Source organism: Homo sapiens, chromosome 3 (assembly GCF_000001405.40).
Source record: "Homo sapiens chromosome 3, GRCh38.p14 Primary Assembly".
NCBI lineage: Eukaryota > Metazoa > Chordata > Mammalia > Primates > Hominidae > Homo > Homo sapiens.
In genome coordinates, this window is record NC_000003.12 from 157142970 (window position 1) to 157160797 (window position 17828).

At 37.7% G+C, this 17828-nt stretch overlaps 1 protein-coding gene across 8 annotated transcripts, besides 4 other annotated features; it reads right to left on the minus strand.

Moving 5' to 3' along the window:
• Positions 1-151: 151 nt before the first annotated feature.
• Positions 152-17178, minus strand: CCNL1 (cyclin L1). Of its 8 annotated transcripts, none has more exons than NM_001308185.2 (11): positions 16823-17178; positions 16436-16510; positions 15897-16006; positions 10067-10187; positions 9208-9272; positions 7313-7412; positions 7096-7200; positions 6867-7008; positions 6516-6627; positions 6318-6416; positions 152-3638 (listed from the first exon to the last, which is right to left on the minus strand). In NM_001308185.2, the coding sequence occupies exons 1-11, from the start codon at positions 17123-17125 to the stop codon at positions 3584-3586; spliced, it is 1287 nt and encodes a 428-aa protein (NP_001295114.1). In that variant the 5' UTR covers positions 17126-17178; the 3' UTR covers positions 152-3583. The 8 variants fall into 8 exon arrangements, with proteins under 8 accessions (NP_001295114.1, NP_064703.1, XP_006713773.1 ...); NM_020307.4 differs by lacking the exon at positions 152-3638 and adding an exon at positions 4584-5620; XM_006713710.5 differs by lacking the exons at positions 152-3638; positions 6318-6416 and adding an exon at positions 4584-5620.
• Positions 5648-5797: a silencer, noted in NCBI's record as "silent region_14844". NCBI's record gives its function as "represses an Ori minimal core promoter by ATAC-STARR-seq in GM12878 lymphoblastoid cells {active_cell/tissue: GM12878}" and the evidence as "EXISTENCE:reporter gene assay evidence [ECO:0000049][PMID:35858748]".
• Positions 16390-16459: an enhancer, noted in NCBI's record as "active region_20739". NCBI's record gives its function as "activates an Ori minimal core promoter by ATAC-STARR-seq in GM12878 lymphoblastoid cells {active_cell/tissue: GM12878}" and the evidence as "EXISTENCE:reporter gene assay evidence [ECO:0000049][PMID:35858748]".
• Positions 16600-16809: a silencer, noted in NCBI's record as "silent region_14845". NCBI's record gives its function as "represses an Ori minimal core promoter by ATAC-STARR-seq in GM12878 lymphoblastoid cells {active_cell/tissue: GM12878}" and the evidence as "EXISTENCE:reporter gene assay evidence [ECO:0000049][PMID:35858748]".
• Positions 17093-17822: an enhancer, noted in NCBI's record as "NANOG-H3K27ac-H3K4me1 hESC enhancer chr3:156877851-156878580 (GRCh37/hg19 assembly coordinates)". NCBI's record gives its function as "activates a minimal SCP1, AML or CMV promoter by ChIP-STARR-seq in naive H9 embryonic stem cells {active_cell/tissue: H9 hESC(naive)}" and the evidence as "EXISTENCE:reporter gene assay evidence [ECO:0000049][PMID:30033119]".

Here is a 17828-nt window from a genome sequence, read left to right on the forward strand (position 1 = left end):
GGCACCCGCCACCATGCCTGGCTAATTTTTTGGTATTTTTAGTAGAGATGAGGTTTCGCCATGTTGACCAGGCTAGTTTGGAACTCCTGACCTCAAGTGATCCGCCCACCTCAGCCTCCCAAAGTGTTAGGATTACAGGCATAAGCCACAGTGCCCAGCCGTATTTTTATTTTTTAAGAGCAGCTAGAAGTCTAGGTTTTTAATGTAAACATTTCCAATTAAAAAATATTATCAGCCAGTTCATTTATAACAAACATTGTACAACTCAAACAAAATACATGTGCAGGCCAGGATTTGGCTCAGGGCCCACCAGTTTGCTACCCCTAGGATGTTGTTTACATCTATGAACTCCAGGAACCTAGTCCTCTCTTTGTAACAGGTACAGATATTCATGGAAGGGTGATTGGACATGCCCATATGAAAGACAAGAAAGTGTGAATGATGATGAAGGCTTTAAAAAGAGTCACTCAGAGAATTGGTAGTATGTTAAATTCATTCATTCCTCAAGTAATATTTATTACATACCCTAATATGGGCCAGACACTCATAGGATTAGGTGAGGGACATACAATAATGAATAAACTACAGAGCTGCCCCTCCCTTACGAGCTTACATTCTAATGAGGAAGAGATTAAATGATAAAGTAAATTTCAGTTAGTGGTAAGCATTATGAAAAAATTAGTGCTGGCTAAGGGATAGAATATGATAGAGGTGTTTAGAGAGGCTTACTTAGAAGGGGTGGTGAAAGCAGCCCCTCTGGAGAGGACTGCAGAGTGGGACCTGAATAAAGACTATCTCTGAGACAGAAACATCCCCACATGAGGATGGCAATAAAGGCTCAGGAAGAGATGTGCATATACAAGAACAGAAAAAGCGAGGTTGATGGGAGAGGCTGGCAAGGGGCATTTTACAGAGTGATATGGGAAACCACTGGAGGCTTTATATATTAGAGCAATGTGATTAACACTTTAAATAGATCATTTTACCTACTCTTCAAAGAAAGGATTGTGGCAAAGGCATGACAGACAGAAATCAGACTACACCTACCAGAAAAGTGATAGCTGATACAGGGAAATTTGATGAGCTATAAAAGCAGGCAGGGTAGGAATTTTCTCCATACTTAGACTGGGTTAGAATTATATTGAACATAGATGGCAAAAGCAGAAGGGAGAAGAGGACACCTGGAATCAAAGAGCCCAAGCAGTTTTGCATGCCTTAATTATGAAAATCTTGTACTGTTCAAGATTTTCTATAAGGTACATACATTATTGAAGATATTGTACTAGTATTAGTTAAGAAGCATTCTCAAACAGCTATCTTTTGAACTGTGTTTGAGAGTGGTAGAATTCAAACTTCTGAATATTTGAGTGCGTTCCAATATGAAGTCTGGATTGCAATGGTAAAAATAAATCCTATTTGCCCAACACATATACTACACAAAATGTTGTAAGGGCCAGTAGACAAGAGGTAAAATAACTTGTCAAGTCACTGTGGAGGAATGATTTAAAATGCAGAGCTGACATGAAGTCCATGTTCCTTCCATGTAATGGAATGTTCAAATGATTACAAAGCCAGGCTTTGAACAAATGTTAAGTGTTCAAATGGTTAGAACATCAGGCTGTGGCTTCCAGCCTTAGAGTGAAAGGGATGAGGGGCTCAAGGCCCACACAATGAACGCTGCTCCGTTCCTATTTCCACATAGGGAAGTGATGCTCCCCTTCTCAAACCTCATGCACATTCTGTCTCTCCAAACCCTTCAGTATGCCCATGCATAAGACCCTCAATATGTCCATGCTTTTAACTTCATTTTAAAAAATCTGGTATGTAAATTTTGAAACTTATCTTCATAATCTATTACAGTTCATGATGAGTTAAGAAATGGCTCTTAGAACAAATGATTGTTATGATATTATTTTTGGAAACTCTCATGAAAACTAAATGTTTTAAGTAAGCTTTTGATGCAGACTGTGGTGTTAATAATGGGGTTATAAGTGGCAATACTTAAAAGCTATTAAAGCAAAACCTAGAACTTCAGTTCTAAGAATTAGTCATTTTTATGTTCGCTTTGTTTTAAAATGGGAACATGGTTAAGAATTTCACTGGTCTTTAAACTAAAGATACCAGCTGCAAAGGACAAATGTAATGTTCTATAACATGAAAGGACTTGTACTAAAAATCAGGATTTTGCCGGGCGCGGTGGCTCATGCCTGTAATCCCAGCCCTTTGGGAGGCAAGGCAGGTGGATCACAAGGTAAGGAGATCGAGGCCATCCTGGCTAACATAGGTGAAACCCCGTCTCTACTAAAAACACAAAAAAATTAGCCAGGGCGTGGTGGCAGGCGCCTGTATTCCCAGCTACTCAGGAGGCTGAGGCAGGAGAATGGCATGAACCTGGGAGTGGGAGCTTGCAGTAACCCGAGATCGTGCCACTGCACTCCAGCCTGGGAGACAGAGCGAGACTTCATCTCAAAAAAAAAAAAAAAAAAAAAAAAAAACCAAAACGGGATTTAATTTGTGGGTCATTTAAAGAAAAAAAGTATCAGGATCATTAGGACAAATAACATTTTCATTGCTGTAATGGGCCAACCAAAACATGAGACAGAGAACAGAGGGAAAAACAGATACAAAAGCCAGTGAGGTACAAGCACCAATGGATAAGAACTGAGAACTCAGTAAAATACCTGGTGGATGAGGCAGCAACCTAGTTTTCAGTTCTAAAATAACAGTCTGGGTGTCCAGGCTTCTAATTCCAGACAAGTAAAAAAATTAAACCTAAATCTGATCAAGCCTCAAGATCTACCACTTTACCACACAGTGGACAGAAAAATGTGTTCAGTGACAGCACAGAGTTACAATGAACAAACCCAGGAGACAAAAAATTCTTCAGGACATGACCCAATTTCTTCAAGTAAGAAATATGGAGAGGCCTGTGGTTAAAGCCGATGCAACATATTTGGACTTTGAACAAATCAGTTAAAACAAATTAGAGATGAGGGCTCTCTGGATACTGACAGGGGTAGTATGGCATTACTTTTAACTCTTACAATAAAGCTATATGGTTATGTTTTAAAAATCCTCAACCTTGTGGACTGAGACACTTGGGAACAAACTTTACTTGTATGGGATTTTCTTCCCAATAGCAAGGGTGGGAGGTGGAGTGGTGAACTGGTGGGGTACAGATTAAGTTTTGCTATTTTGGAGTTAATAAACAGGTATTATTGGTATTGCACAACTTTGTTTCTCAAAATAAGTTTGAAAATGAGTATTACTTCTAGAGAAAGTGTTTAAATAGCCATAGAGTGGCATGAGGTTAACATCCTGACAACTTAGAAAACGGATTCAGTAACAGACAATAAGATAAAAATCAAGACCCTGAAAAAGATCTTTGCCTAGCCCACAAAGCCACCTCTAAAAACACCTTTAACATACAAACCTCATTCCACATGCAGGTGTATCCTCCACAACTCCCCATCTTCACAAACAACCCTCACCCACAGCACTCCTATTTCCAAGCAAAGATTAGGGACATAAGTAATTTCAACACTATTAAGAATTTAATACTTGGGAGGCTGAGGTGGGAGGATCACTTGAGGCCAGGAGTTCGTGACCGACCTGGGCAACGTAGCAAGACCTCGTCTCTAAAAAAAAAAAAAAAAAAGTTAAAAAAAAAAATCAACATTAATTTGCTAACAGGGCCTTTGCTGACATTTGCCTTTGCCTTTCTTCAATGTCTATCTTGTAGGGGAAGCAAACTGTTCAGCATTTAGAAGCAGTTAGCTTTTCAGAAATATCTATTTATAATTCAGCAATGTGTATTACAAATCAGGCAGAAAGAAGTCTTAATGAACTATCTACCCTCTTTCAAGCATGAAGTGGCTAACTTTTGCTGGGTCTTGTTAGTTTCTGGTTAGTCTTTATAGTTAGAACTATAACTGATTTAAGTAGCACACCCAACACTTTTATATCCTAATGAATCTTAATCTCCTTCAAAGTAGTTGCCTTGTGAAGCTATTTTTTCCAGCCTCCACCACCTGCCATTGGTGAACACATTTTAAGTCTTTGGAATCTCCTCTTCAGAAGCTGTAACTTTATTTTTAAAAATATCCTTAGCAGTAATACATCTTCCTCTTTGTGGGTGTATTTTATTTCTTGAAACAGCAACAAATCACTTGGAGCCAAGTCTAGTGGACAATTAAAGTAGGTAAAATAAATGTAATGGAGACCTTAGTGTAATTATAAAGCGATGCAACATTTTGACTCTGTAAACTGATTTCCAAAATGTTGAAAAAAATAGTAAATGTGAGTAACTTGAAAACATTCATCTGGATAGAAATTCCGGCTTTTTCATCAAAACTTCACTTCTTTGTGATCAGCTTGTATTCTATCAACCACTCAAGTTCAGGGGCCTCACATTTTCTCCTAGCCTACGTAAAAATCGTAACATTAAATGCCTAAATTATACAGAACTGTTAAAGCTCAATAGTTACTAAGTTTTGGTTCATTCAATAGGGTACCTCATTTCAGAAATAGTACTTAAATCTGACTCAAAATTACCTTATGACACCATTCAAAAGCAAATCAGGTTTTTTGGTTTAGTGCTAAAATATAACATTTAATGTCACATTGTTGGGCGACTCCCATTTACTTTTTCCATATATACAGTGAAGACTTACAATAGCTCACAATGCAGTTAAGAATTGCATTTTAATAATCTCAAACTACCATCTAATGGAGGAAAGAATAAGTTTGTCAGAAAACCAGTACAGCCATTTTGCTATTAAAATTTTCCTTTTTAATAATTTATTTAAATAAGGTATTTGAAGCAGTTTAGAAAAAACAAGATTTGTATTTTATTTCCTTGTAAAAATCTTTACACATGCAGACAAACCAGTGTTAAGAAAGTATTCACCATCATTTAAACAAATAACCACTTAAATAGAACAGTGTCTGCAATTTTATCTGTATAAAAATAAGATACATTTTTACAGAATTCACGCTCCAGTTCTTATAGCAATAAACAATACACAACTATAATAAAGTACAATTGAACCTGACCATGGTTTTTAATTAGATACTGCTAGGGCATTTTAATGTGCAAAAAAATTAACATAGTTCTTTTCAAAAGAAACTGTCCTCAGTGTTCTAGAGACCTAGAGGGTTTCAAGAAATCAAATCCTAATCAGTTTGCGTTTAATGTTTTTGATTGAGTCCATACATCACACTGTAGATAGGCAAAACCAAGAACTGATGCAGGCTCAAAGGAAGAGAAAGTCAGCGCCTGTGCCTGCCATGTCCTGAGCGACTGCCACCATGGTGCTTGCTTTTATGGGACCTCTCAAAGGAGCGAGATCGTTCACGCCTGTCCCTATGATGTCCCCTTTCATGCCTGTGTTTCTTGGCTGCATCTGAGTGATCCCGAGACTTGCTCTGAGATCGAGAACGAGATTTTTTCCTTTTATGACCATGTCTGTTTGAACTTTTTAAATCATCTCTGGTATGCTTGGCCTTAAGGTGAGGAGAACCATGATTATGATGTCTTCGAGGGCTTTCACTGTGACTGCGGGACCTGCTTCTTGATCTCGAGCTGTATGTTCCAGATCGACTCCGCCTATTATTATAGCTTAGATAATAAAAATTTGAAGTTTAGGTTCAGTTTCTATGGGGAACAGATTATTCCGGTGGTTGCTCATAACAGGTTCAAAACAAAACTACCAGCTACATAAATGACAAACCAGAACTTTTCAAAATCTCCCCACCCCTCACTGCTGTATGCCCAAGCCTATATATAACATATTAAATCTTAAGCAAATGTTCTTATGTCTTTATTCCAAGGGGAGTAATTAGCAATTTTTATAGTGTCCTAGAGCTATGCTTTTTATTAAGTATCTCCCACATGTTCAAAAGACATTGAAGAGCCACGAAGAGCTAACAATCTAATTACAGGCCTAACTAAAGAAGATTCATTGACTGGTTAATTTGATTATTGGTTATTAATAAGGGGTTAATGAAACACATTTTCTAACTGAAATTAAAAAAAAAAAAAGAAGTTTTCACATTATGAACAATACTATGGCCCTCAAGCACTTTGTGGGTAGCTCCTACACTTCTCCAAAAAACATGGGAGAAAATATAACAGAATGCCATTAAGATACTGTATGTCCAGAACATCTCCAAACTCATTTCTCATAATTTGCCTCATACTAAAAGCCTAATTCTAACCTAACTTTGAAAATAATCTATGTTCAATTTTTAAAGAAAAAGCAATAACCTTTAAAAACTCCAAATAAGACTGCTTCCCTAAGAAAACATTTACTTACTGTCTTCTTGGAGTATGTGATCTAGAACGTGATCGTGTTCTTGACCTCGATCGACTTGCACTTCTGCTATTTCTACTTCTCTTGCTGTCTTTTCTTACACTTCAAAAAATCATGACATATTAGTTACAAACTTAGTGTGTTAAAAAGTAAACACATAAAAGATTCCTCAAGCCAGTTTTCCAGCCCAAGTATACTCACCCATTGTAAGGGCTTTTGGAAGCCTGTTGTCTATCCTCAGGTTCTTTTTTGACTGTCTTCACATTAATGGAGATTGGTGATTTCTCTTCAGCTTTTACTTCTCTTGGTGATGCTTTTAAAAGATATAATAACAACATGTTAACTACTGGATTTAACAGAGGGCCAAAAGTTGTTTCTAAATGTAACTCAAAGTACCATGCTTCCGCTTCCATGTTGGTTGACTGCCATGAGAGAACATAGCAGCAGTTTCCTAACATCATTTTTCTCTATGCAACTTTCAAATGTAAAAGCTCTCTAATAAAGACACACTTTCAGTGCCCCCAAGTCATTTTAATTCTAAATACATCTTACATGGCTTGGAGGCTGGAGAAAATCCACCCAGGGTTGAAAGGGCTGGAGTTCCATCCGGATTCAATCCCTTTGCTTTTAATTTGGCTTCTTGTAAGGCTACTTTTCTTTTTTCTACTTCTTTTTCCAGTAATTCATAGTTTGGCTGTTGGAGGAAAAAAAAGTTAGTATTTCTTCCTTAGAGTAGCTTGGACTCTTAGCATGTTGGCACAAACGAGTAAATAGAGAATACCTTTTTTCTGGTATAAAGCCTAAGTGTTTCTATGCAGATTTCCTGGATTTCCTCTTCTGTAGTACCAAAAAGAAGAAACCAATGGGGACGAGTTGGCAACGGAATCTAAACCATAAGAACAGAATGTTTTAAATTAAATTTTTGCTAAATCTGTATTGGAACCACCGAAAATTTGTGTGATTTATCCTACAGAACAAAATGGGAAATATACACCTACCTGAAGTGCTCTAGCTGCAAGGTAGATGCAAGCACATGCTATAGTCTCTGGTTGAAATCGAACAAACACATTGGTTCGAAGACTGTCATTCATGTAATTCCTGAAAAATATTTCAACTATAAGCTTGCATGTAAACAAACCAGTTCTTCTGAAGCTTACATAAAATTGGAGACTCAATCTACTTTATTCTTTTTTCTTCTCTTATTTATATTCACATCCTCATATTCTAGCATATAACAACTCTTAACTCAAAAAAATCAGTAAGCAATAAGAATTTAATACTAGGACCATATGCGATTTTCCTATATATGAGCGAAGCCCTTTTAAATTATTTCATATTACAATCCAAACTAGAAATTACTCCTAAAAAGTTAATATATTTCTGTAAAAAGCAATGCTTTTCAAAGTCAATTCTGACACGATTAGTTTCAGAAATGATAAACCACTCCAATAATACTTCAAGCCATTAATTACTGACCATCTCTCCTTTATCCACAATAAAAGCAGTGTCAACCAAGTTCTTTTCAAAAGCTCAAAATACCGTTAACAGGGGTAAAAAGGCATTTTCAGTAAGTACCAAGTTAAACTTATATTAAGAAAGCTAAGATACTTAGAAAATCTAGATAGGGAAATAAAGAGCAATAAACACATATAATGGCCTTGTTTACATACCTTTTTTGTGACTAGGTAAAAGAGATAAACTATTTCAGTTAAAAAATTGCTGAACTTTTATTAATGAACCCTCCCCACAACATTCCTAAACTATCAAAGAAATTTTACAGATCATTTAAAAGGTTAAGCTGAAATTAAATGGACTATTTCTTAAAAATCCTAAACCATGAGAACTGCTATAATCCATTTTATGCAACACATACTTAAAATGTCATGCATTTTATAAAAATAATGAGACTTTTCTAACATTACAAATATTTACTGAGTCCAAAAGAAGCATGGCAGTCATAAAAAGGACATCTTGCTGGGAAGCCCAGAATATAAAAATTACTTCACTAAGTCCTTCACATCAATAGTCTTAGGAAACAGTAGTTGTGGCTGAACCACAAACTCCTTGGCTTGACCTTTAAATAAGCCAGCACTCCAAATCACACATCTGCATCTCAAGAAGTCCAAGTGCTAAAGCATTTAAGCAATATTATAGTAACATCTCTTTTAAAAATGAAGTGCTTCTTGCTTCTAATATTATTACCCGCAATACAGCCAAGCAGTTATATAAATTAAGCCAGTGTGGGAACTGGTGCCCATTTTAAGCTGCAAGTTTGTCGTCTCCTTTGGTAGTATTCATGCTATACACACTAAAAATAAAAATTTAGTCAAACTCCTAATAAACCATTTAATTCATAATGGCTGCACAACAAATCTATCAAAAATGAACTATTCATTTTGATAGTTACAAGTATACATTAAATACATAGGCATGTCAAATAGTTACTTCTAGAAGCAAATATACAAATCCTTTTGACACCCCGACAGAACTAGAAGATGCTGCCAGATGGATATGGACCACTTCAGTGAATCTCGGATGAGAGCTTGCACTGGATTGGCTGGAGAGCAGGGTAGCCAATCAGGCCATCCTGAGGTCATGGGCTGAAGTGCAGAGGGCAGAGTTCTATGACTTACCATCATGGACTACCCTTTAATTAAAGAGTAGAAAAAAGAACAAAGTTAAATTGAGTTCTCCATTAAAAGTAATTAGTCAAGCCAAGAAAACAGGAAGCAGAAATAAGCATTATTTACCTTTTGGTTAAAAAAACAAAACAAAAAAACAACGAAAAGCCCCAAACAAACTTATCTCATTATTTTGGAAAGGGAAAACGAAACTTACTTTATTTCTGCTTCTGTTTTCCTGGCTAGGAAAGAAATCTAAAAAAGTGACTTACCAGGCAGTTTGAACCAGGGTTTGATTACGTTCACATTCTAAGACTTGTAAATACATAACAATGATCTGAAGGACAAGGGAAAAAAACTCAATTCAGTATACTGGTAGTTCTTTCGGAGTAGAGTTCAATGAAAAAAGTAATTGAAAATGTTAGACTCAAGTTCTAATTGTGCATCGATAATACAGACCAATTTAAATGTACATAAGATTCTAATGTGAACTGCTACATGACTAGATTTTATATAAATTATGTTTAGAAGCATATTTCAAAATTGTACAGGAAAAAAGGCAATTAAAAGAATATTTTTCATTGGCACTTTACTATGTGATGGGCACCGTGCTAGATTATTTCACCTAATTTCCCAAGGTACATTTCTAACCCAGGTAGTCCTGACCCGGGTAACTCACTCTATGGCTTATATTGATAATGAAAGCTAAGAGATGTTGGGAGAAACAAATTTCCAATAATGGTAACAGTGAGCAGCCAACACACTTAGAACATTCTACTATGATGATAAGTGTGCCAGATACTTTTGTAGCTACACATTTATTCCTTGGAATGAGGAACTTTACATCTCTGTTTTCTAGGTGGAAAAACTGGGACTTTAACCACAGAAACAAAAATAACTTCTCTATGAGCACACAATTAAGATTTAAGATTTGAACCTACATTTTTGACTGTCATTTTACTGATAAATCTCAACATCCAAAAGAATGTTTTTCGATGAAGCCTGAACCTTTAAAAGAATGCTTTTTAAAACCAAGGTTAACACTCAGATAGAAACATAAATTCATATAAAATAAAATTTTTAGAAAAGTCCTAATACTTACGAACCCAATTTCTGTACTCTACAACTCACCTTATGAGGATGCTTGACATGAACACAAAATCCCAACTCCTTTAGCACCCTCCTCTCTGCTTTGATAACTTGATTTTTGGTGTTAATGTAGTTCTGATCAAGGATCAGGGGGCTTGGAGTCCTATAGTTTGTAAGAAATAAAATCAAAACTGTTTTGCACATCCAAAAAATTTTATTTGTGGCATCTCCATTTTCCCTTCCAACCAACTATTGGCAACAGAAACCAGCTTTTTAAACTCCTGCAAACAAGTTAAAGCATTAATCTTGTGCTGTCCAAGTTATGCTAATTAAATATATACATCTACGAGACTAAGTTCCTAAAGGAACTAACAATTCTGTAATGAAAAAAATTCACTCTAATGTTCTTGAATTCATCCCTGCCAACTTTTCCATTCTGCTTATATTCTAGGTGTGTATATATATGTATTTAACTTTAACGATAGCATGATTTGTCATCACAAACCTCAAAGTCTCTCCAAGAGACTTTCCACTGGCCAAAGTAATGTGCTCCAGGCTGGTCCGATGGTAGTGGGTTATCAGAACTTACTAATATCAGTGTCACTAAAGTTGGTATACAATCTCCCACTGCTATTTGACTGGTAAAACAAACAAACAAACAAAACAACTAAAGTGCTCCTAAGATTTACAGTACTATAAAGTCCTCATAAGATCATACTGATTTTTCATGCATTCTATATGGCCAAAATTTTTCAAAAGTTGGGGGGGGTGGGAACAGTGGGTAGTTAATCCAGATTCCCCTCCAATGGGGTATTATGTTTTTAATAATTTGTTCTAAGAGCCTATCTGTTTAAAAAAGTAATCTGAAAACTAAAGATTCAGCTCAATTACCCAAGTAAATTAAAAATCGTATTTAAAACTCCACGTGACCCATGAGATCCAGGCCCAAATTTGGTCAGGGTTGTAGTTATTAGGCAACATGCTTTACTATTAACACAGAAGGGAATGAAGGGCCATAATGAGGGAACCACAACATATTCAAGGGCTCTGTACCAGACTAAATTTTGGTAACTCAGAAGTTTCTATAATACAGAAGGCTTATGTCAGTGGTTTAATGCTTTAAAAGTAGCACATTCAACTGATGTTATCCCCAAATGTTTTATTACATAGTTTAAAAACTTATAATAAAAGACAATCTTATTTATGTCATACAATTCAAAACTGGTTTCTTCCTGAGAAGTTTCAGTCAGGAAAGGTTAAGGAATTGGGCTTTTGTTTTTTGTTGTTGGTCATGTCTGAAATTTACCCAAGTCCAACACATTCTTAGATTCAACCAACAAAAACTACTATTTTATCAAGACACTGATTATACGGTAAGTTTACAAGTAGAATACTTCAATATTTTTGTCCATACTCAGTTCATTTTCAGCCAAAAGACTTAAGAGTCTTTGCTCTAGGCAGAATACACGATCTATTTTTAAGACAGTCATCCTCTCTACCCCAATGCACACCAGATCCAGAAAAATGTAATCTCATATTTTTAAAACAAAAATCTATTTCAATACATGCACCGAAGGTTAGAAAACAATCTGCGATGAACTTCATTACCCCTATGGTAACATCAGAGTAAAAAGTCAGTTATCATACATTTTCCTTACTTTCTTCCATTTAAAATTATTACAGAAACTGGAATGCTTACTAAACAAAAACTGGCAGCGCTGACAAGATAAAAGACAGCTGTTACTTAAAATGGCCTTCCCTCGGTTTCATTCCTCACACCTATGAGGAATGAGGCCACCAGCTGGCCTCATTGAGCTGCTTTCTAATATTAACGTGTAATGATGAATCCATTTTATCAGGACAGTAGGCTACAAATTGCTCTTTGGAAAATAAGTCAAACTTAATTCTCATGAAAACAACCTATCTCTCTCTCCATATATATACATACATACATACATACATACATACATACATACATATAAACATATTCCAAAGATCTTAAGGTCTATGATCAGGTTTTATCATCACAGGAAATTTGGAAAAAAGTAAAACCAACTTCAGACTCTTTTTAACTTATGGCTGTGTTATCTAATGGCTCTCCTTAACTGTCATTAAGAGATAAAATAGCTCCAGTGTTACAGCTGCACACACCATTTTAACTCTTAACCCCTTGCAATCCAGACAGAAGACGGTATCATCAAAATCCCTAGTAAAATGTAATTTTATGAAAACATAGTTGTCTCATTTTTCTCCATTTGTTAATAAAAATTATCTATACCTCTTAAGATAACCTGCTTTAAGAACTGCCTTCAAATGGTGATATAATTCATTTGTTCTTGCAATTACACTAAAGAAGCTAAATATGTTTGAATTATAGCTACTATTTAGTCCCAAATCAGACTTAATGATGCCATTTTCTTTGTTTTTGTGTCAAAATGCCAATGACATCAAAATAGATTTAAGAAAACCAAACCCATTATTTACTATAATTCAATATATACTTAACTTCTTGCTTAATCCTGCTATTTATTACCTGCAATTTTCAAAGTTAACTTTGTGGGTATATAACCTAAAACCAGATACCTTTATTTTGTTCAGAATTGGTTCTACCTCACAAATCAACGGTGCACACGTAATTTACAACTACCTGGTAGAGATTACTTTGTATCATAAATTTAAAAAATATATCTCCATCAATCAGCAGTAAACAAAGTCTCAAAGTATACATTAGTACCTTCTGTTGCAACAAGCACATTAAATTAAGGCCTGCTAGAATTTCTTCCTCCCCAATCAGGTAAACTTTCTTTGCCAATAAAGTTTGAGGAGGTGGCATTTGAAAATCTCTTTAAAAAAGAAGTCTTCATCTATTCAGAGAAAACTCAAAAATAATTTTCATTATCAACACACAAACTAACTCAATCTCTGCTTTAAGTTTCTATTGTCCAATTTTTCTGATTTATACGAGAATTATTTTCAGCTTTAGAAAATCCTGGTCTTTGGTCATTAGAAGTTTATTATTATGGTTTGTTAGAGGAGCTATTTTCCTTTAGCATGATTATGTAATTGACATATAACTCAACAACAACAAAAATTACAAAGTCCAAACATGGTTAGTTTCATTTATGTGTTACAAAGACTGAGAAATATTGGAACCAAGTCTTCAAGAGACTATAACAGATTGGTAGTTTACAAAGAGGCATACTGCCAAGCAATATACAAAAATTTGTAATGCCTACTTAAAAGTAGAAACATCCTTTATAGGTATTTAAACAAACTGAAGGCCACCTTGTAGAGCCACAGAATTATACTGTAGAAAGGTGGTAGACTAAATGACATCACTTAACACCCTTCCAATTCTTACCTATCCAACTTTTATTATCTATGGATACACTGAAAATACATTGTATTTACTAATGAGAATGGTTAAACCAGTCTTTGAAAATTTTAATACGCTGCATCTCAAAAGTAAATATTTGGAAACTAGAACAATGAAAAAGCAATCCCCCCTCTAAATTTAGCTGTTTATTGTCAACTTAAAAGATAATTATCGAACCACAAAAAACTGAAGGAGGAATAGGCCAAACAATCCAGGTTGGGGACTAAGCACTGGTACTTTTTAAAAAGCTCCTCTGCTAATTCTCAATGTGTAGCCAGGCTGAAGAGACCAATGACCTACAAGCAACATGAATAATGTATCTCCACTGTAATTGTCAAAGTCACACTACAATTTAAAGTTATGAATAAACTAGATTAAAACAAATAGCATCATTAAGACAAGTGATATGCTTTACCTAACCAATGTATAATACTGATAGTACTTTCTAATGACATTAACCTATGCAAAAATAAATACAAAGCTATAGTTCTAATAACTTGGACAGCAAAGACAAAAGCTTATAACAAGAAACAGGAGTTTTTCTAAATGGTTCACCAGTGGCCAACCTGTTAGTCCCCGATTCCAGTGACCTATTCTCAGAGCACTGGCTTCTCCTTGGGGATTTTCGATACTTCACTCACTGTTGCCATGACGACAGCTTCATCTCTATGTACCACTCCACATCACCCAGGCTTTGGTAAATGTAGCTGGTCGCTGTATAGTCGGTTGCAAGGGAAAAAAGAGTTGAAGTTAATAACATATACAAGTTACGTGCTTGAGTAAACTTGTAATATGCATAGAAACACTTTTACATCCTGCTTTAAAAAAAGGCTTCCATGCAATTAACAACTCCTTTTAAATTTTGCTATAATCAGACTTCTAAGATTGAAACAAAATCAGTTTCTCTGTAATAATGACCCAAAAAACAAAGTTACATCAGACACAACAATCAGGTGAGATTATATTATTTTAAATTCCATGGTTTTTACAGTTAAGACCTATTCTAACATCAACGAAGTAAACTAGTCTCACAGGAAAATTCCACAGAAGATAATCATGTGATTACATAATAGTTGGCTCAATGGTTCAAAGAATACTAGAAAACCATTTCCTTTAAGCAAAGAGAAACCTTTGACTAAAGATAGAGCCTTGTATTAGTGTCATTACTTTAAACATCCTGAAGAATCAGCCAGGTATCTAAATACAGATTTAACCTCAGACCATACCAAAGACCAATTTGAAATCTTCCCAATTCCCAGGGACTCATCAACAAACTAAAAGATATTTTAGAATTTAAAAAGTACTCTATCCCTGGACACAGTTAAGGTGAATGAGAAAAGATGGGGGAGAAAAAGTATGTAGGAAAACTGTTGCAGACTTTTTGACTAGGATACTCTTTTTTTAAAAAAGAACTGTCTGTAGACTCACAGAATAGACTAGTCATCTTAAAGTTGCTTTAATATTTGCTTGTCTGAATAGTTCCATTACTGCCAACTTACAGATTCAGCCAATAAGGACTACTCATATAGAATACTAACAGCACTAACCAACATACCCAACCCCCAGAACAACTTATAATCCTTTTAATAACTTCCTTTCAAACTCAGTACAATTTGTCTAACATCACTACAATTCCTTAAAGAGTGAATGCAAAAACTATTCTACACCAAATATATCATTCTGCAGCATGTACTGGAAGTCACCTGTAGATGCAGGAAGTCCTGCAACAAACTTTTTGGTACTGCCTCACAGGAACACATAGGTCCACATAAAATTATGTTACCACAACACCTAGGAGATACTATTTCAGTCTCTGTATTTTCTTACAACATCAAATAAATGGCCCTATCTAAATGCAACCCAATCAATCTTACTTGTTAATTTTCTAACCCACTCACTGAGACTGTATCTAACCAAAACAAAATACCTGTTTAATCCCTTTGACTTCAAACTTCAAACTTTATCATCCTGCAGTCCTTTCAGATCCGGTATTATTCGATTTATCGTAGTTCAATGTTGAGAAGTACTCTAACAAAAGCCAACCTCAATTGATAAAGAATTAACTGGGACTTCGAGTAGAAAAACATAATCTACACAGAACTTTGCCACAATATTAACTTAAACTACAGTGTTTAAACTTCCAGCCTTCAGTCTTCCAGAGAGGGGAGAGGAAAAATAACTTACAGAATACACTCACACTTGAGCCAAATGTACTCCCTTTCTTGTTTAATCTTAAGCCACAGGCCTGGCTTCACAGCACTGTTAGGATTGTCCATAAATGCAACTGCCTCTACAAACTTTAGATAACCGGTTAATTATGTTTCTTTTTTCAAATTATTTTAAGTATCAGTGTTCCTATATGAACTTTAACACCTAAATTAAAGTCCGTTTTCTTTTGCATCCGTATTCACTTGAAAGGAAAGATGTTTTGATTTGATGACTGGTGCACGGTACAGCAGTAGCAAGAGATACTATGTTCAATAATGCCAATCTTACCTTTTTCCTCTTAACTGGCGGAGGTGGTGGAATACATTAATCACATCTCTTATTCTTCTAGGTGCTTCTTCGATTTTTGATGCAAGATTAATACAAGCCATAGCAACAATCTGAAAGAACCCATGAGCCACAAAAGCCATTGTTAGATTAAACTCACTTTGAAGAATAAAATTTAGAACACAATTGGGACAACCTTTAGTAAAATTAGAGAAGACATCTCTATGCCGTAAGTCTACCAGCTATGCTAGTACTATACTTTTTGTTGTTTAACTCATCTTAATTTTGGTTCCAGAGTCAAACTCAATCTTACAGGAGTTCTGCATTTGGTTGAAAACTGTACTTTTCGTTAAGAGGGCACTTAGGCTCGTGATCGATTTTGAACCACATTCTAAAGGTTTCCACTTCCTGGCGAGTGAGAAGTAGGTACAAAGGCCTAAACTAAACCACTCCCTTTCTGGAAAAGCTGGCTGCTGACACTACCCCTACTCTGCCCATTTCCGGATGAAGAAATCCCTTTTACCCGCCTCCGCTGTGCTTACCTCGAAACTGTGTTTGACGAAAGATTTGGAGTAGAAAAAACGATGAAACAACACCTGCCCCGTTGCCATCGCCACCTGCAGACAAGAGAGGAGAACGGAAGCGCAGGGGTCAGGCGGGCCCGCTCCAGGCGCCGCCGCCATTTTGTGCCGCCGATCGCTTCCCTTTCCCCTCCCGCCGCCGCCGCCGCTGCGAACAGCCCGCTGCCAAGTCCTCCCTCCGCCTCCGCAGCCCCCCGCCCCGGCACGCCCCGGCCGCGGCTGGGCCCCGAACGGGAAAGCCTGAAGGAACCGTCCCCACCCTCCCGGGGCACGGTGATACTGAGATGCGGCGTAGGGGACGGAGGAGAGGAGAGGAGCGCCCGGCCGGCCCGGGGCCGGAGCACTGACCTGCGGCAGCCGGAGGAGAATGCCGGCGGCCTGGATGAGCTCGCAGCCCAGGATGCGTAAGTCCGTCTCACTGGGCAGGTCGAGCCCATCCTGCATGGATGGGGTGGGCGAGAGCCTCTCCTCCGGAATCAGAGAGTGGTCGATGGTAAGTGAAACTTCCGAGTACAGGCGATCGCCGATCAGGATCCCTCCCGTCGTGGTCGTCGTCGTGGTCGTCGTCCCGGAGCTGGAGCCGCCCGCGCTTGGGGCGGCCGATGAGGCGGCTGCGGCAGCAGTAGCTGTCGAATGAGGCCCGGACGCCATAGTCTTAGCGAGCCGCACGCAAGCCCAACGCAGCCGGAACCCGAAACAAGACTAACCAGCGTTCTCGGCGCGACGGATATTCCCGTGACCGCCGGGTTCTGGGCCGCTTCACGCCGCGTGCGCTTCCGCCCTGACGTCACCACGCCGGGCAGCCGCGCGCCAACTAGTCCCTCCAGGCCGCGCCTCCGCCCTCGGCATCTGGGCCTGCGAGGGGAGTGTTGGGTGCTGCGACAGACCTTGGGATCCTCAGAGGCTGAGGAGGCCTTCTCTAGCCAAGGCCGGTCGAAACCACCTTGTTTGTGATAGCCACACGAATAACGGAGCTTTACAAGATCCCTTATACCCAAAATAGAGGTGGCAGCATTGGCTAGCATCTCTGCGCCCCTTCGCCCTGCATTCCGGCCTCTTCCTTTAGCCTCGGCGCGGCTTGCGTTCCGCGTGTACCAAGGGAAGTGGCGGCCGACCTGAGCGCGCTTTGGCGGGTGGAAGTGGTGACTTTGTTGTCCTGTGTGGACGAATGTGTAATATAAAGTGACCCTCAAGGAATCTGGAGAGGGCTGCTTTACAGTATTTGAAGAACACAGGGCTGTGGACCCTATCGGTTCCCAAATGAAAGCTCCCCGGGGAGCGTGTTTTTGCCAGTATGGGGAAGTAGGGCGGAGGCATAGGAATGACCGCGAGAGTGGCTGCTTTCATAGCTCCG